This window comes from Homo sapiens, chromosome 7 (assembly GCF_000001405.40).
Source record: "Homo sapiens chromosome 7, GRCh38.p14 Primary Assembly".
In the NCBI taxonomy this organism is placed as follows: Eukaryota; Metazoa; Chordata; class Mammalia; order Primates; family Hominidae; genus Homo; species Homo sapiens.
In genome coordinates, this window is record NC_000007.14 from 30875664 (window position 1) to 30894984 (window position 19321).

The following is a 19321-nucleotide window of genomic DNA, read 5'->3' on the forward strand; positions in this document are numbered from 1 at the left end:
GATGCTCACGTTCACCACAAGTAGGGGAGCCTGACTCTCTGGAGCAATGAGGAGGGAAGTGGGGAAGGAAAGCTGGACTCCACTTCTCAGAGCTGGCTGAAATTCGGGTCCAGTTAGAATCACAGAGGGCTTGGGAAGAAGTACAGCTTCTCTGCTGTGGCTACAGGCCTATAATTCAGACCCAAAGCCAGCTGATACCGTGTTCTGGGGAAGATGGTTTGAAAAGGACTTCGAGGGATTTCTGCCGTGATTGTGGGTCACAGTGGCTGCAGCTGGTGTCTGTGTGGTGGGGGAGCCTTCTCAAGGGACAGGAACTTGAGGTCTTAGGCCTCGTGTTAGTTTCCTAGTGCTGCCTAACAAAGTACCACAGACTGGGTGGCTTGAAACAACAGAAACTTAACTGTCTCACAGTTCTGGAGGCTGGAAGTCCAAGATCAAGGTGTCAGAAAGGCCATGCTCCCTCTGAAACCCATAAGGAGAATCCTTCCTTGTCTCTTCTAGCTCTCGGTGTTTTCTGGCAATCCTTGGCATTCCTCGACCATATAGTGATGCTTCTGTAGATGTATCACTCCAGTCTCTGCCTCCATCCATCATCACAGGGCCACCTTCTCCCTTTGTGTCTTTTCTTATACAGACCTCAGTCATATTGGATTAAGGGCCCACCGTACTCCAGTATGACCTCGTCTTAACTAATTATGCCTGCAACAACCCTGTGTCCAAATGCAGTCACATTCTGAGGTACTGGGGGCTAGGATTCAACACATCTTTTTGGAGGCACAGTTCAACCCATAGTAGGCCTCACACATCCTGTTTGTTGGCATGTGGTCCCTCTGCATCCTGTGTCACTGCAGCCAGGGGCTCAGAAAGGGCTGGGCCCCCAGGTAAAGCTGGATAGGGCATGGGTGACTGTACCTCTGGAGAATGTGGCCAGGTGCTGAGGGGGCTGGGCAGAGGAGCACTGGACCCTGCCTTCTTGTTCCAGCTGCCATGGAACATTTTTCTGAGCATTGCTTTCCATGGCTTCAGAGAGTCCATTGTTCTGTGGTTGATTAAATGGGAAAGGTTGTCCTGAGGGGCAGCAGGAGTGCTTTTCACAGTGGCCACCCCCTGCAAAGATTCTTGGAGGGTCCGGATGAGGCCTCATTCACCACCTATCCTCAGAACCAGGACGCAGAGATTGACTCAGCAGGGCCTTGCAGATAGCGCCAGGCGATTCCACCCTGGATTTTCAGGGTGGAAAAAGACTAGGGTTTTAAGCCAGGGCTCAGTTTTACCCACCCTTCCCACATGACCACATGTTGGGGTGTGCTGTGTCTTGCTAATGACCCATGTGGTGCAGCCCCCTCCCCAGATCCCCTCTCTGGATGATACCCCCAGCATGCCAAAAGCAGACTTCTGGGTCCCAAAGACTTGCGGGAAAAAAGAATGAGAGTAGCTGCTTCCTGGCTGTGCTGGTGTTAGGAGGGAGCCCAGGAATGTGGCTGGTGAGAAGCACCAGGGCTCTCGAGCACCGGATCCTGGGTGTGCTCTGAAAGTATTCAGCTCAAAATTCCATGGGCCAAGAGAGGCAACCTTGGCTAGGCTCATGGAATTCCCAGGCTCACCATGAGCTCTGGTTTCATTCTTGGGTCGAGGGCGTTGGTCAGAGAGTAAACTATTTTCCTGTGGTCTGTGGAGGGTACTTGATGGGAAAACCAGTTGGGGTCATCCTTCCCTTGTAATAAAATTGAAGAAATTCAGGCCCTACAACCATCTCCCCTCCTCGTGGGCTTCTTGGATCCGCATAGACCCTCTGCTGTTCTGTGCTCAGCTGAGGACTGGGAGTTTTGTTTCCCTGCGGTAGGTGGATGCTTCCTTCCTCTGCCTTGCAACTGCAAGCTCACTAAGGAAGGAGCCCTGGCCTCCTCTCCTCCTCCATGAGCTCACCGAGGGCTGGGCCTCAACCCCTGCCTTCCACTGAAGACTCAGGGCCCAGCAGCTCAGACAAAGCCCTTCCCTCTTCTTCTTCTTCTTCTTCTTCTTTTTTTTTTTTTTTTGAGACAAGGTCTCACTCTGTCACCCATGCTGGAGTGATCTCAGCTCACTGCAACCTCTGCCTCCTCTGTTCAAGCAATTCTTCTGCCTCAGCCTCCTGAGTAGCTGGGATTACAGGGACATGCTTTTTTTTTTTTTTTTTTTTTTTTTTTTTTTTTTTTAAGTAGAGATGGGGTTTCACCATATTGGCCAGGCTGGTCTTGAACTCCTGACCTCAAGTGATCCACCCACCTCAGCCTTACAAAGTGCTAGGGTTACAGGTGTGAGCCACTGCGCCTGGCCCCTTCCCTCTTCTTTAACACCACCTTCCATCCCTTCTGTCCCCAAGTCCCTCGGGCCCTACACAGTTAGCCACATTGGACATAGAAGGAGTCCAAGGGGGTCCAGCACCCAAGCCTGGACCTGGACTCAGAGCCAGGGCCCTTGCTCTGGCCTGGCCTGGCCCTCTCCTCAGGCAGCACAGACACAGCCGTGGGAAGACTGGCATTTGGAACAGCCTGGGCCATGACGTCCGCAGCGTTCACTCACTAGCAGGTGAAGCCTCTCACTTGCAGCTTGTCTCCAGGCTTCTCACTGCAGCCTGGGGTTCTGGGGCCCTCACTGGGTATGTGGGAGGAGGAGGTCCTACCTAAAAGTGAGCTACCCAGATGACCCATACTCAGGGTGTACCTGGGGTAAACAGATGAAACTCTGAGCTGGAGAAACTCACCCCCTGCCATAAGTAACTGGTCCGGCCTGGCTGTGTCCTGCCGGACCTCCATGGGCTATCTGTGACCCCACCAGCTGGTCTTGCCCATCTGACTTCCAGCTGGCTCCCTCAGTCCCACACCTGGCCCAGGACAAGGCTCACCGGTAAGGGGTGGACTGCATTCTAGGCTGCAGTTGGAGGCCAAGCCCCTCCAGGCTGATGGTCATGGTGGTGATGGGGGACTGACAGTCCAGGAGGGATGGGGTGGGACAGGGAGTTTAGCCTCAGCACTTCTTTCATGACCTGCGAGGCATGTTCATTGCCATCTTCATGAAGGGACCCACAAAGGAAAACAGCTTGACGGGCAAGAGTTCTGAAAGCTCCATCCTCCTCCCATCCTCCCCAGCTCAGAGATGGCCACCATCCACCCATTTACTCAACCAGGAGCACGTCCTCTCCATCAGGAGGACATGTGCCTCCCCCTGAAGTTGTTTCTCAAGCCCATCCACTTTCACCAGGTCAGAGCCACCAGCATCGCTGATTTTGACACCTGTGACAGCCTAGCCAAATTCAGCTCCTGTCCCCATCGCTTTCCCCCTTTCCAATCCTGTCCCTTCACTGAAACCAGTGTGATCTTTAAAAATATACACACAATCATATCATTCCTTTTCTCTGGACCCTCAGTGGTTTTCCAGTCCTCTGAGACTGTTGTGAGCTGAACTATGTCTCCCCAAAATTCCTGTGTTGAAACGCTGACCCCCAGTACCTCAGAATGTATTAATAACTGTATTTGGAGAAAGGGCCTTTAAGGAAATGATTAAGGTAAAATGAGGTCACTAGGGTGGGTCCCAATCCAGTATGGCTGGTATCCTCCTAAGCAGAGGAGGTTAGGACACAGATCACACAGCAGGAAGTCCTTCTGAAGGTACGGAGAAGGCAACCATCTACAAGCTCAGGGGCACGGCCTTCAGAAACAACCCTAGTGACATCTCAGACCTCCAGCTTCCGGAACTCTGAGATAATAAATGTCTGCTGTCTGAGCCATCCAGTCCGTGGTATTTGTTATGGCAGCCCGAGCAGACTAATGCAGAAACTAAAATCCAAAACTTCTCACCACCCCCAATGCCCTGCCAGACCTGCACCTGCCTTCCTCTCCCACCTCAGCCCGCACCACTCTCTCCCGCAGGCTGGGGCTTCTCTCGGGCTCTCTCCCACCTCCTGGCCTTTGTGCACGCTGCACCCTCCACCTGCCCAGCTTTTCCCTGTTATCGTTTTGACTTAAACGTTACTTCCTAAAAGGCAGCCTTTCCTGCCCTCATAACCCCATCTAAGTAGGGGGTCCTTCTCATTGTCCCCTCCATACCTTGTCAATCACCATCAGGGTATCTTAATTCTTTCCTTCATAGGGCCTCCTCTGGATTTTAAGCATCGCATTTCATCGCCTTTAAGATGCAAACTTGCCCACATTTGAGCACTTCTGAAATTCTGATGCATTGTTACAGTTGATGGTGTGTCAGACTTTGACACACCTGCTTTTTCTTACTTAGTGATACAAAAAATAATGGCGAATCTGAGGGCATCCTGGATTCACTGAAGTGCAGTGGAAATGTGTGGGTTTGATTATTTAATTAATGTGTCATCCCCATCAATCTGGTAAGCTCCATAAGGACAGCACTGTTCTTATTGTCTCTAGCACTATGTCCCCATTGCTGTTCCTTAGAAATGCCACACCATAACTCTACGCAAGTAAATGCTGACCCTTTGAAGTGAGTGCTTCTAACCTGGCTGTCCATGGATGGCTTTAGGCCATTCACAACCCCCGCCCTAGAAGATTAAGTAATCCCTAATTGTGCTACATGTTCCCCCACCAGGACAAAGTCCCAGACTGTGCTGTAGGAAATGTGGCCCTCCCCCGCACCCCCCCCCACCCCCGACTGCGGCCTTGCCCCAAGCCTTTGGTTACCCAAGAATTTAAAGGAAGTGAATTTCATCTCTGGAAAATGTCACCCACTTGGAAAGAGGCTCCTGAATGAGGAAACTCATTTATAAAGTCTGTGGGCAGCTTTTTTCCCTTAATCTCTCGACTGTTACTTCTGCATGGCAAGCTGCACTTTTGTCTCTCCGTTGGAAAATTCAGGGTGGCTGATTATGCAAAGGCCTGCTCCCTGGTTGGCTTTGGGACTCTCTCCCTGCCGTGAATGAATGCTGGGTCCCTGTGTCAGGGTTCCCTGTTCCTGGCGATGCCCTCACCAGAAAAGCCTCTTTGAAGCATGGAATGGAAGCCAAGTTTACGTGGGGTTTAGGCACGTCCAGCCACGTCCTGTAAGACATCTAATTCCCCCACACTTCACTAAGGAATGAGCTCTGCAGTCCACTTCAATGGCACACAGGGCTGGGGTGAGGCTTCGGTGTGGGGGGAGGGGACACTTGAACCGTAAGAAAGGATGAGTGCGTTGTAAAGACTGTCCCCCTACCTTCTGGAGGAGGCAGCTTTAAATGTGCAGGAATTTCACTGGGGACCTGGTTCAGGACCTTCAGAGCACAGCCCCTCTGTCAGAGACATCCCAGATCAAGATGGGAGCTGCTCACCCACTCTCCTGTAAAGGGTTCTGGAAAAAGTATGCCCTTCTCCCCACTGGAAAAATAATTCCCATTCTTTCTTTAATCCACAGGCTGTAGCTGTAAATACCTGAGCATGCAAACATCTCCCTGGGGCTGGTAGGGATTAGGCCAGAATCAGCCTGGCCCGTGGCACGTACATAGCTGGATAAACCAGGGCCCAGGGTCAGGAGAGGCGCTGGCCAAGAAGTGTCAGGGGCTGGGGGAAAGTGCATGGAGGCCAGGCATTCAGGGGCTTCACAGGGGGCCCTTGTCACTTCTCTTCCCATTGTAGTCAAGATGCTAGCAACGTGCTGAGGGCCCTGGTGCTTATTCCTCTGTGTCTTCTTCCACAAACACTTCCACCATGTGAAATTCCCCTGCTTGGAATGCTCCTTATCCAAGTGTTGCTGCAACCTCAGTGCCCTGCTGCACCCTGAATTTCTCTGTCCCTCCATTCCTGGCACCCCCACAGACTTCTCACTCAGACCTTTCCCTCCTGGCTCCCCAGGGCTCCATTCCTAGTTGTCTTTACCGTGCAGTTCTAGTTCAAGTCCTGCTTCATCCATGAGGAATTTCATTCACCCGACATTTACTTACCCCGGGCTCCTGGAACTTAAGGGTATGATCTGTCGAGCATGAGGCAGAGGTGCTGCGGCTGAGGTGGGTGGGCACCTAGTGATGTGCTCCCTGGGAACTGGAAGGAGGAAACTATTTCTGCTCCAACAAGGGATTTGGGAGATGCAGGCTGTCCAACGGTAAGCAAGCTCTAGGCTAGTGGACAAGCTGAATTTGTTTGAGGGGTGTGGGAAGAATTGGTTAGGAGGTCACTGCCGTGGTGCAGGTTGGAGGCTGAGTAGATCTCAGGAGGAAAGGCTGGCAGTGGGGGAGCTCTTGGATGCAGAATGAGCAGTACTGGGAACCATTAGATGTGGGGGATGAGGGGGCGAGTGATACCGGGTCTCAGGTCTGTATGGCAGAGGCCCTGCGAGCAGCAGCAGGTGGGGTGGCAGGGCAGGGATGGCCCTGGGAAACAGCCCAGTGGCCTGAGCAGCGTGAGGGGCTCCCAGCATCAGACACAAACGTGATCTTCAGCAGGGCCTCTCTGAGGTCAGCCCTGCCTTGAGTCAGACAGAAAAATGCCCGGACCCCTTTCCCTGGGGACGGCATTTCACATCAGGCCTCTCCCTCATCCAGGTTGGCTGCTTCCTGAAGACCCCGAGGTTCCCCATCTGGGTGGTTTGCAGTGAGAGCCACTTCAGCATCCTCTTTAGCCTGCAGCCGGGGCTCCTGCGTGACTGGAGGACTGAGAGGCTCTTTGACTTGTACTACTACGATGGCCTGGCCAACCAGCAGGAGCAGATCCGGCTGACCATTGGTGCGGGCCCTCACCCCCCCACCCACCCAACCCTGTCCCCAAGGAGCCTCCAGGCTGGTCACAGAAACCAGCCTTCCTATCCACCACCAACCCCCATGACAGAGAGCAGTGCAGACTCCAGCATCCAGACTGGGGGATCAGAGAGCCAATGCCAGCAGGGCCTCCCTGCAGGAGGCGGCCAGAGCTGGGCCTTGAGCAGTGAGTGGCATTAAGGGCGTTGGGTAAAGCCTACACCACATGGTAAAGAGCCCTGAATACTATGCTGACAAGTTTGGATGTATTCTTCAGGCAGTGGCGAGCCATGGAAGGTTTTGGAATCAGGGTGGTGAGATCAGAAGTGTTTTTAGAAAGAGTATTGTGGTAGCTAAAGTGGGACACGGGTGGGGACCAGTGAGTTGTGCAGGTGAGAATGGATGTCAGGGATGAGGGTGGGTCCAGTTGAGATGGAGAGGAGGGGACAGGGACTAGAAGGGGGCGGGTCTCGGGAGTGGTCAGCGCTGACCTCAGGGTGAGTGCAGGGCCCTGGGTGACATGTGTGTGCCTCTCTCCTCCTTCCCAGACACCACCCAAACCATCTCTGAGGACACAGACAACGACCTTGTCCCACCCCTCGAGCTCTGCATCAGAACCAAGTGAGTCAAGCCCCTCTCTGGCTTTGAGCCTCACCCTGAATAGCTTTGAGGAGCCATGGTTGGGGGTGGTCAGGCCTGCAGGAAGGCAGATAGGTTCCTGGACCACCCTGATTCAAAGAGGTGTGGTGATTGGAAAGACACAGGTTTCTCCACTCGTGGTCACTGGGGCCCAGGTTCAGGAGTGTGTGGTCTGCAGTGGTGATGCGTCTTTAGACAGCTTCTGAGACTGCCTTCATGGTTGGGGGTGGGGGCTAAATGGGCACCTCTTGAAGCCCCTCCTCCCTCAAGGCAGCAGCAGCCAGATGTGGCAAGTACCGTTAGGCCCGAAGGAGGCAGGACAGGGGTGCTTACCTGAGGGTGGGGGAGGCTTGAGCAGGATAGGAAGCTGGGAGGCCTGGCCCAGCCTGGGGGTGGCAGGAGGTGCTGCCTGGAGCGACACCCTCTGCTTGCGGAGGAGCCGGAGGAGCAGCTCCGCCACTCTGAACACTGAGCAGTGTGCCTCTGGCCTCAGAGGCAGGTGGGAGCTTCAACTCCTCTGACCCAGCCCCTCTGTATTTAAGGGGAGGCTGAGGCTCAGGCCAGGGGAGGGGAATGTTCAGTAACTGGGGTGAGTTGGGGCTCACCTCCTTGCTGTGTTCTCTGAGTGGGCCCCTGGGCTGGTGGTGCGGTAGCTGTCAGAAGTGCTCCCCTTGCCCCGGCAGGCCCTTCACAAAGCCCTTGGGGCATGACCCAGAGGCCTCAGCGTGCATGAGAGGAGCAGCCCGGGAGGGAGAGGCCTGGATCCTGGTCCCTTCTGGGGGAGCAGTGGAACTGGTAACCTTTATGAGTGTGGGCTCTGGAGAGAAGTCGCCTGGGTTCCAGCCCTGGTGTTGCTGCTTCTTGGTGTGAGCCACTGGACCTCACCTTCCTGCACCCCACTTTGTCATCTGTAAAATGGGGGTGATGCATACCTTTCTCACTGGACCTTGTGAAGAGTGTCTGGGACGTTACTAAGTGCTCCATGGTGTTTGTGCTCACGATGATGACCTCAGCCACTCCTGATTTGGTGTGATCTCAGAGAATCTCCATTTCTCTGCCTGTGAAATGGTTGGGGTTGTGACGGGGGATGCAAAATGGTGAGGCCCTGCAATGCTTACTGCCTGAGATCCAGGGGGCACAGCAAGCTTAGGGTTGATGCCCACCACAGGAAAGCGAGCCCTTGAGAGGAGCTGCAGAGAAAGAGAAATGTTCACATGGTGGAAACACCAGGAAGGGGAAATGGGAGGAGCGCCGAGACATCCTCGACATGCTTTGTCCGTCCGTCCGTCCATCCGTTCGTCCATCCACCTGCCCGCCCCCTGAGCCAGGGATGAAGCATTCTTGCAGGGTCATGTGCTGGTGCTTCTTTCGTCGGGAGGATTAAGGGCACCTGCAGGTCGCTTTCCTTTCATGTACAAAGGGCCACTCATTCAAAATGATGAGAGAAAGGCAGCAGTGGGGACAGGAGGTGACACTAGCCTTGGCATCTGTACAGGACAGCGTGGGAGGCCACAGGGCATCCTTCCTGCAGGTGGGCCTGTTGAGCAGGGCTCCAACACCCTGGACACAGCCGCAGCTTGCCTCTGGACTCCTGGGACCCTCTCTGAAGGCCTCCGTCTGACTCTGTGTCTCTCTACCCCTCCCAGGGGGTGGCCCACCACCTGAAACCTCTCCACTGCCTCTTCTGGAGTAACTCCTTTTTCTCCAGAAATTATTCCACTGCATGACTCACCAAGCACCTCCCAGCGTGGGCCCAGGATTGGACTTCTTGGGCTCAGCTCTAATTGACAATTGTTTGAGATCGACCTGGGGCCTTGGTCTGCATGGAGCTTAGTCCATGCAGAGTGAGAGTCTTAGTGTGTGGACACGGGCCTGAACCTCCTCTTCCTCTTCTATTGGCTGCCTTCATCTCCCAAAACTTCCTTCCCCTGCCCCTTGTTCACTTGCAAGCAGGTGACAGTGAGGTTATGTGGGAAGCAGAGAGGCTGCATGATTTGGGCCAGGGCCCTGCCCTTCTCTGCCCTCACATCTGCTTAGTGTTGTGTGAGCTTGGACAAGGCTGAGCCCCACCATCTCCTTGAGCAGTCATGCATGGAAAATAATTCTATTTGTGTAGCACACAGGGGCTAAGAGGAGCCCATATGCATTTGTGGCTCATGCTTGGGGAAAGTTTGCTCCAGAGCAGTGGCCTTCAAGCTTCAGGGGCATCAGAGTCACCTGGAGAATATGTTAAAACACAGATCACCACCTATAATCCCAGCACTTTGGAAGGCCGAGACGGGCAGATCACCTGAGGTCGGGAGTTTGAGACCAGCCTAACCAACATGGAGACACCCCATCTCTATTAAAAATTAGCCGGGCATGGTGGCACACGCCTATAATCTCAGCTACTTGGGAGGCTGAGGCAGGAGAATCGCTTGAACCTGGGAGGCGAAGATTGCAGTGAGCTGAGATCATGCCATTGCACGCCAGCCTGGGCAACAAGAGGGAAACTCCGTCTCAAAAAAACAAACAAACAAAAAACCCAAAACCAAAAAACACAAAGCGCCGTGCCCCACACCAAGGGTTTCTGAGCTTTTTATTCAGTAGGTCCAGGGTAGGGCCCAATAATTTGCATTTTTAAGGAGTCCTCCAGTGATGCTGATGCTGCTGGTCCCAGGACCACACTTTGAGAACCAGGTAAGGGCAGTGCCCACCCCCCCCCCAACCCTGCTGCCTTGTGAGAGTTGGGTATCAAGTGAGGCATTGATTCTCTGGCCCGCCATAGGCACTGGGCCAGGGGAACCTTCTTCCTGGCTCCATTAGCTATCCCCTCATCCCCAGGTCTGTGTTCCATGTCTGCGAGAACTTTGCTGACACCAGCTGCCTGCCTGTTCCACTTCCCCCATCAATCCCCCATCATGGTGGGTCCACCTTGGCAGTTGTTCCTAGAAAAGCTGAGTGGGTGAGTGGTGAGTGGGAACACTGCCCCCATACCCACCAGGTGACATACCACTGCAGTGGGAAACAGCAGGCTTAGGGGTAAGTCCTGCTGTCTGTAGGAAGGCCCCACCGTGTCAGGAAGGGGATACACGTGACATCGTGGCATGAGCTCAGGTCATTTCAAAGGCTGCAGTGAGAGCCCAAGCTCCTGATAAGATGCAGCTGTGTGCCCACAGCATCTTGTCCATCTTGCTCGGTAGGTGGGGCTGCAGGGTAGGCCAGTCTGGTGGGCAGGTAGAATTCCCCCACATCAGGTCAACCCTCATAGAACCCCTGGGCTGGACACCATGGAAGAAACAGCTGAGTAAGACTTGGCTCCTGCTCTCAGAGAGTTTGCCATCAGCCAAAAGTCAAGTTTGGAATCAACCCTGTTACCAGTCCAGGGAAAGATGCACCACCCACCCTTAAACCCAGCTCTGTTGCCCTGCAAGAACCCCCAAGCCACACAGCTGGCTGTCTGGCAGCTTGCTTGGCTCTACAGAAAGGCCTTTGGGCACCCCCTGTTATCACCTCTTCTTTTACAGACAGGGAGATGGGGGCCTCCAGAATGGAGGTCCGTGTCCCAGCCACACTTTGAGTCACAAGCTCCAAGGACTGTGGCTTACGCTTTTGCTGTCCCAGCCCATTGGAAGGTCACTTAGTGGGCAGTGACTTCCCACCACCTGGCTTTGTTGCCTCGGTGACATTGCACAAGCCCAGACTGCTGGTTTCGCCTTCAGAGAAGAGCATCCTAATTCAAACCATCCCAGACCCCATGTGTCTCTGCGCTTTGCTGTGACGCAAACCTCGGCCTGAGAGAGTCTCCTGTTACCTTTGCTTGTGTCAGGAATGTGGGATCTGTCCCCTGCCCCCTCCCACTGTTATACTGTAACCATCTCAGCAAAAAAACAGGCTAATTTATTATGGTCATTTCCAAACGAGACACACACAGTGACCTCTCTCATGCTTCCAGCCTGGCTAGAGTGAGAAAAATGAAACGGTTGTCAACAGTCCAGAGAAAAGAGGAAAGAACTCATAACCGGAGCCTGGGGCTGGGGCACAGATGTTTCTGTTCGGAGGTGCAGACAAGAAATTGAAAATGTAATTCCAGCTGGGTATGATGCCTTCGAGGGGCAGAGGCAGAGCCCCCGCCTCCCTCAGCTACCCCCACTCCCTGCGGAACCTCCCGTTCAGCTTCCATGCTGACCATTTTGCCCAGGCTCCCTGTCCACAGTGCCTCCCACCCATCGGAGGAGCATTCTCTGGGCGCTGTCACTCCCCACTGTCCATGCCAGCCCTCTTCTGATGCCCTGCCCCCCACACACACCTGCCCTGTGCTGGCTCTGCAGTCATCAAGCTGTGTGAGCTCCAGAAGGTCTGGTTCTGCTCCCAGCCTTAGTTTCCCCATCTGTCCCTGGGGTCTAAGGATCCCTCTCCTGAGCTGCTGTGAGGTTGAGAGAAGAGCTGTGGAAGCACTGCCTTTCCTGTGAGCCACAATGGCCTCTGGGCATGCGTTGGGGAGGAGGAGGAATCAGGTGGTGGCAAGTTGGGCCAGGGCTCAGGAGCAGGCAGAGAGGAGAGTGCAAGGCAGGGCTTTGAAGCGTGAGCCAGCGAGGACCATGGTTTCCCTGCTGAGTGCCTGGGAGGGCGGGGCCACTCCCTAAGCAGGCGTCCAGGAGGAACAGCTGGCCTGGTGGGGGTCGTGTTCATGCAGCAGCACCCCCACCTGCCACCTCCACCTGGAGCCCAGGCTGCAGGCACTGGTTAAACCAGCTTTGCCTTGGAGCCTGGCCTGGGTGCTGACGGGGACCCGCGGGTGGCAGTCAGAGAACACTTCTGCAAAGAGGAATCTGGATCTGATCCTGCAGGATGGCGGACTGGGCAGGGCCCAGCAGGGGTTAAGGCCCAGGGGTGAGGGATACCCACGTGGCTCATCCTAGAGCTGCTCCTCATTCCGAATGGCTGGAGCACGGGAACGGAAACTTTCACACAGGCCTATTTGTCTGGAGATTTAAAGCATACAAGAGGCGTCCCTGGATGCTTTTCTACCAGTCAGGAGCTTTGAACTCAGGCCTGCTGTCTTGTCCTGGCTGACACAGGCTCTATCAGGCACCTTTTTCCCCATGAAAAACACTGGGTCCATCAACGTTGAAAAGCAGTTAAGGCAGGTAACCACCCCTCTGTTGCAGTGATGCCTCTGGGGGGACAGGGCCTTATTTTCCACCATGAAGTGCCTTTCTCTGTGATTTTAAGTTGACTTGAGCACCAGGGACCATGGTGTTTTTACGGAGCGAGTGGTCTCAACGGGACAATTGTGTGCCCCTGGGGTTATTTGCCAATGTCTGAGGACATTTTTAGTTGTCACAGCCCTGGGAGAGGATGCTAAACATTTCATAATGCACACCACGGTCTCCACAACAAAGAATTACCCAGCCAAAATGCCTTAGGTACCGAGGATGAGAGACCCGGCTATAAACTGGCTGGCTGTCAGCCGCCTCCTGCATTAGCACTGATGAATGAGTCTGGAACTTTGATTGTGTCTCTTCTGCTCCTCAGAGGTGTTTCCATTTCATCCCTCCCCTTTCTGTGCCTGTCCGCAGTTGTTGGTTGCATATGCAGAGCCCTTCTTACTTGTCCTTGTAATCGACTCACAAGCTTTCAGAACCATTCCAATCGGGGAACGATTCGATTCGTCCCCTACACTAGCACAACATGCGTCATGGCTCAGCCCTTTCAATTTTTAAAATGTCTCTGCTTTGATTTTCTATTGTAATTGCAAACTGCTTCCCTCTGGTGTTTCCAGTACTCTCCCTGCATTTGCCCCTGTTGGCTGGATGGAGCGGGTTGGTTATGTCTGTAGAAAGCCTCAAAACCAAGCTCAAACTCAACAGCCTGATAGTAAGACTCAGCCACTGTGGTGACACAGATGTTGTCTAGTGGTAGATGAGTGTGACTCACCCCTGCACTGAAGCAGCTTGCCAGGATTCAAGGAATTTGTAACTTGGGAGCTCATACGAGGTACTTCAGTCTTTCTGAGTGGGGAGGGTAAAGGCTTGAAAAGATAGAGAGGGGCGGGGTGAAGGGGCCTGGGGACCAGGCTGAGAGCAGGCATGTTGCTCTCCTTCCTGCCTCCCTTCTGCCACCCTCTGGGAGTCTGGATTCAGGATGTGTTCCTTAGTGTCCAAGATTTCAATGCTTGCCCACAAATCTTAATAGAACAATAAAAGCTTTTTAATGACACACTCCAAACTGCAAAGATGATGAACAGAACAAGAAAATTGAAAATCTCAAATGCTCATCGTGTTGCTGCAGATTGCTAAGGTGCTTTTAACCCAGCAGATGTAATAGATGAACTCAGTACCCAGGAGCTGGGGTCAGCACAATGCCTTCCCAGCCTGCTTACCTCCAGAACCTGCTCAGTTGTATAAGCCAGAGCAGTGGCCATTTTCCTGCTGGTTGGACCTATATTAGCCAGTATAGGACATCATCAGACTCCACCCCCAAATAGTATCAGCAATGGGCACTCACTGCCGAGGAGAAGTCTGACTTCACCAAGCCAAGCCAGTTTGTCTCCAAATACGGCACCAGTGTCTCTTATTTGAGCAGTGAAGATGAACGCTCTGATATGGATAAATTCCATCAAAGTGGCTCAACCCCAAAACCCAATAGACTCCTCTGGATCTGCTTGACACACAGAAGCCCAGTAAATAGTCTGAAGCACTTGGATAGCATAGAAGCACTTAATTCTTCCACATCCAATGGAGTAAGTGATGATGCTGGCATTTTCACTTCAAAACGATTGATGAAGGGGAGGTGGGGTTGTGGATGAACATGAAAGTGTTATCATATACCTCTTGTCACAGGTTAGACTGGGAATGGATCTCACCAAGGTAGTTCTTTCAGTATTTATTCTTGAAATATCTTTTAAAAATGTATGCAGATATTTTTGCACATCCAGATCTGTTTCTAAGCATTTATGACCAGAAGGATCCCAGGAACCAAATGGTTCAGGTGATAAAAGGGTACCTCTCAGCCTTTCATGCAGGCAGAAAAGGATTGATTGCCAAAAGGCCATACAACCTGATTTTGGGTGAGATCTTTCAGCATCACTGAACATCACCAAATGACACGGAGGAGGACGCAGAGAAAGTTTTGGACACAGTTGCCCCAAACAGTGTAACATTCCTGGCTGAGCGTGTTTTCCAGCATCCACCTGTTTCAACCTTTTATGCCGAGTGTTTTAACAAGAAGGTACAATTCAGCGTTCCTATTTGGACAAATCAAAATTTCTTGGGTTGTTGACTAGGGAGCACAACGTAGGGCAGGACTGCGTCTTGTGTCTAGACTAGGATGAACGTGACATCCTTACATTCCCCGATGGTATGCACGATCTATCCTCACAGTGCCCTGGGCAGAGCTAGGAGGAGAATGCAATATTAATTGTTCCCAAATGGGCTGCATGCAAATAACTTCCACACCAAACCTTTCTATAGGAGCAAGAAGCACAAAATTGCCATTAAGATTTTTTTCTCCAAATGACAAGAAATCTTTCTGCTCATTCAAAGGGAAATGGAATGGTGTAAAGTATTCAAAATATGCAAGGGGAAAATTTAGTCTTTACAGATACCAAGAGGGAAGTGAGTTGGAAGAACGGAGTGAATATGAACCTTGCTGCCTTTGGAAGGGACACTTTCAACCTAAAAATTAGAGACTTTGATGCAGCAATTGAAGGAAAGCACTGACTTGAAGAAAGACAAAGAGCCGAAGCCTAGGAAAGAAAGAAAGAGATTCAGTGGAAGTTTAGGCTATGTCATAAACATGGGGAACAGTGGGTTGAGGATGAACCATTGACTGAAACCTCTTGGTGGTTCCAAGCCTTCTGTTGGAAAATGCAACTGTGTTACTTTGGGAGAACCTGTTCCCACCCTTCTCATCGCAGTTCCAATGTCAGGAATCCTCGACTTTCTGGATGTAGATGTACAATTCAGTTGAAGTGAGAAAAGCTTCCCCTTTTTCTTCCTCCATGGCAGTTAGATTTTCTTCAGAATTGAAGAAAATCTTCAGGTTTTGAAAACAAGATGTCTGTTCCCTGCCCAAACCTCATACTTTGAAAAGCATTTATGAATTCCAGCCTCAAACTCTGCACTGTAGAACTGCTGTGAGATATTCAACATCTGTTTCCTAGTTCATATATAGTCTTAGGATATCTGTATATGTATAATATACCTAGTGCCAGATTTTACGTAAACACTCCATCTGCTATAAATTTGATTCTTCTGAGTGTTTTTAGAAAATTAGCACCATGTGTTAAAATCAAGTGCTAGGAAATGTCATGGTCTCACCTACAGTAACTTTTCGTTTTGCAACTGAACTGTTATTCAGTTGTCTCTAACCCTGGACCACAATTTAGTTATACTCCGTGCTTCTTCAGGTTAAAAAACAAAACAAAACAAAAAACTGTCGTGTTACTGCAGTGCTCACAGCCATTCACTACCTTTCTGTGGCTCTCAGTAAAGCCCAGAACCCTTACAAGTTCCTGCCAGCTTCCCGGCCCCTCCCCACCCTCTGTCCCCATTGTTTCGCACTCAGCCATATCTAGGACTGCACAGGTGCCTCTAAAGTGCCAACCATTGGGTCCTAGTGGAGAGCGGCTGGTCCAGATGTGTGTGGATCATTCATGTCAGTGGAGGGCCTCAGTGGAGGGCCCAGCAGTGCCAGGCGCAAAGTAGGTTGTGGCACAAAAGAATGCATCACCTGCCGCCTGGCCTCTCCATTGCTCTCTGGGGTCCTAGGTGTATTTGTGTTTCGTAAGAGACTGGTGTGTGGGTTTGTGTGAATTTGGAGGGGTGAGATGAGCAGGATGGAAACCGAACTATTCAAAGCCTCCAAGACAAAACCTTCAGGAAGTGGAGGCAAGAGATGGGCTCTCATCTGGGACCCTGAAGCTTGATCTCTCTTTGTCTCTCTCCTCACTCTACGCTTAGGTGGAAGGGGGCATCAGTGAACTGGAACGGCTCAGACCCCATCCTGTGACCGTTGGATGTGGGTAAACCCTGTGGTCCACCACTCATCACCTCATCACCGAGGATGACAGCTGAACCCCAAGCCTCTGGGGCAGGTCTCATGTACCCCAACCTGGGTCAGCATGACTGCAGAAGCATCCAGAGCCTCCCTGCCCCTTCCATGAAGGGCCCACCCAAGACTGTGCTGGGGACCCAGTGTGTTGCTGGGTCCCCTCCCAGCTGAGCTGTGACTGCTGAGTACTGGAAGGAGGTTGCCAGGGTCTCTGCTACCTTTGTCTGCATCCCTCCCTTGCTCCCTGCTGGGTGGTCCCTCACCCAGGCCTCCAATGTGGTTGGCCCTGGGGACTCATTACTTCTGGTAGCTGGCTTTCTATAAAAATGGGTCAAACCCATGTCAAGGGCCCAGGCTCATTTGTTCTACAGCTGCAAAGAGCGTGATGTGCACTGTCTGTGCTGATCATGGCTGGTATGGAGAATGTGGTAGGGTGATTCGCCCCAGAGCCCTTGTGAGGCCCCAGGAGAATGGAGGTGGACCTGGAGGGTAAGCTGGACCTGGCCAAGTAGATGTGGGAAAAGAGCCTTCCAAGGAGGAGGGACCTCTTGGCCATGGGGGGACAATAGGACAGGGATAAACAGAGGGACTGGGGACTAGGTGAGGTCCTTGGTACCTGTAGGGGAGCATGTGGGGAGAGGGCTGTCTGAAAATCTGGATGGGCAGAGCCTGTGGAGCCCTCACATTCCAGAACAAAGATGGCAAAGTTGAAATAGGAAAAGTGCAATAATCACTCATGAAGGGGATATAGTAGTCTGAGCCTTGTTTGTTCCATTCATTGATATCCCACCAGTTTCAAAAAGAAGATGAGAACATGCAGAAGTGCGGTGGCCTGCTGATGAAGAAGGGGGTGAGGAGAGAGGTTGTGTGAAAAGCACAGTGAAGGACTCCTCTGCAGTGGTTTACAAGAACAGGATGGATACAGGAGCCCAGGGGCAGAGCACTAGCCTCTCAGGGTTTCTGTCACATGGCTGCCCATATGAAGGCTGCCGGCCCTGTACCCCACCCTGTCTGTGCCCAGTGAGTGCTGCAGTTGGGACTGTGAGGGGGCTGTGTAGAGGTGGGTGTGTACGCACAGGAACCAGGGGATGCACCCCTGCTGTGTCTGCTCTGGCCCAGGGAGAAGCCTAGGAGAGCCACCAGCACCGGACAGTAGCTTGTCCCCAGCTTCCATGTGCGCCTGGGGCTCAGGACACAAGCAGCTCAGGAGCTGTGTCTCTCTGCAGTACTGGCTACAGGAGACCCCTTTTATTTTAGACGCCAGGCATGTCAGGGGTAAAACTGGCATTTGGTGGTGACAGCAAAAGCACTTGTCTTGTGTTCTTGTGGATGGGGCATGTGTAGAGGCCTGACTGTTGGTCTTTGGGGAGAGGCAGGCGGAGAGCCAATCAGGCTGGGAGGGAAGTGGGAGGGTAGGGACTGCTCTGTCCAGGCTGTGCCGAGGCCCCGGTGGGGTTTGCTATGTAAACTCCAGCAGCCATTCACAGCAGGCTTCCAGCAGAAATGCTTCCTATATATCCCTGAAATGTTTATGCATTTGTTTTCCTTGGCCAGGGATAGGGCGCTCCAGCTGAGCACCCGGGCAGAGGAAATCGGTTTCCCAGCAGCAGCCTTGTTTATCAGCCTGGGAAGGAAAAGTGTGTCTTTTCAATGAAACTCACTTAACCTCCTGACCAAGGTCCCTTTGGCAGCACTGGAGAAAACAAACTATTCCCAGTGTTGCTTGAGAAGACCATTTCCAACAAATTACAAACCTGCTTCTCTAGAAGCCAGGTACATTGTGCAGTTTCTTATTCCTTGCCTAGGTTTTCCTGGAATGGAAGATGAGCACAGCCCAGCACCACCCTCCCCCAGACCCAGACACTGGGACAAGTCCATGGTGCTGCCACCAAGCCTGCAGGAATGAAATACAGGCTCCTGACTCCTCACCCATGGGCGATCTCCATCCAAGGGGCAGAGTTTTCTAGGGAGACTGTGGGTGGGCTTCAGAGAGTCCAGAGCTGCCCAGATTATGTGAAAGTTTCCCCTCCCCTTGCAGTGGTCATTTTGGGAGAGGGAGTTGTGGTTAGCTTTTGTCACCTTTCCACCTTGCCCTTGGAGTCCTCCCCAGATGCCCAAGCTGGCTGTGGCTCCTTCAGGGAGGAGGGGCAGGGCAGCAAGGTCTTACTTAACCTGTCCTGCAGCAGTGCTGGGTGTTGCTGTGGGCCCTCTGATGAGCACATAGGAAGTGCTGGCCTCCTCTTTTGTGAGGGGGCTTCCCACTGCTAAGGACTGCCCCACGTCAGCTGATCCCCCCTCCAACTGCTGCTATGGCAGCTCTCCAGCCCCTCTGCCAGAGCCAACCTCTCCTCCACCACCTTTATGGAAGACCCGAGTCTTCCTTCTGCAGGATCCACACTTGAACTGTGCAAAGCACCAACATATCATTGCCTCCCAAATCCTGGAGATCAGACCTTCCCCACTCACCCCATCTCCTGCCCCACCATCTGTCGGGAGCTCCTCACCTTTAACCTTCCCCACTCCATGCGAGTGTCCCACATCCTGGGGACACAAATCAAGCTTTCAGGCAGTCTCCTTGAAGCCTCCCTCACTTGACTTTAGGAGTGGAGATTCACCCTCTCTGCTCCCCATGGCTAGGGGAAGGGGACCCAGGGACCCGAGCACACTGATGCTTCTCTCCAGGGACATCCTCACTAGCCCCGACCTCTTCGACTGCCAGCCCAATACTTTCTTCATCCTCTCTCGTGGTGGGAGGATCATTCACAGCACTCTCCCTGTTAGTTCTACATAGAGGGAGCACCTGTCAGAAGAGCGGTTTCCAGAGCTGCAAGAATTCCCTGGGGGTCAGAGCTGGGCCAGGGCTTGGAGGGGTGTTGGAGGCTGTACTAAGGCAAGCTTTGTCCAGACTCCACCTGACTGCTCCCCAGGGTCTCCATG

The 19321-nt window shown here is 52.7% G+C and overlaps 1 protein-coding gene, 1 long non-coding RNA gene and 1 pseudogene across 2 annotated transcripts in view, besides 1 other annotated feature; all 3 read left to right on the forward strand.

The window, feature by feature from the left end:
• Positions 1-16724, forward strand: part of INMT-MINDY4 (INMT-MINDY4 readthrough (NMD candidate)) — a 140253-nt gene extending 123529 nt beyond the window's left edge. The window contains exons 18-20 of the long non-coding RNA NR_037598.1: positions 6518-6698; positions 7258-7330; positions 16294-16724. This is a non-coding gene — a long non-coding RNA (INMT-MINDY4 readthrough (NMD candidate)). The remainder of the gene's footprint in view (positions 1-6517; positions 6699-7257; positions 7331-16293) is intronic.
• The window catches only part of MINDY4 (MINDY lysine 48 deubiquitinase 4), a 120971-nt gene extending 104247 nt beyond the window's left edge, over positions 1-16724 (forward strand). The window contains exons 16-18 of the mRNA NM_032222.3: positions 6518-6698; positions 7258-7330; positions 16294-16724. Of these exons, the coding sequence (NP_115598.2) occupies positions 6518-6698; positions 7258-7330; positions 16294-16342 (303 nt within the window). The 3' untranslated portion in view covers positions 16343-16724. The remainder of the gene's footprint in view (positions 1-6517; positions 6699-7257; positions 7331-16293) is intronic.
• Positions 8381-9282: an enhancer, noted in NCBI's record as "H3K4me1 hESC enhancer chr7:30923659-30924560 (GRCh37/hg19 assembly coordinates)". NCBI's record gives its function as "activates a minimal SCP1, AML or CMV promoter by ChIP-STARR-seq in primed H9 embryonic stem cells {active_cell/tissue: H9 hESC(primed)}" and the evidence as "EXISTENCE:reporter gene assay evidence [ECO:0000049][PMID:30033119]".
• OSBPL9P6 (oxysterol binding protein like 9 pseudogene 6) lies at positions 13437-15204 on the forward strand (annotated as a pseudogene).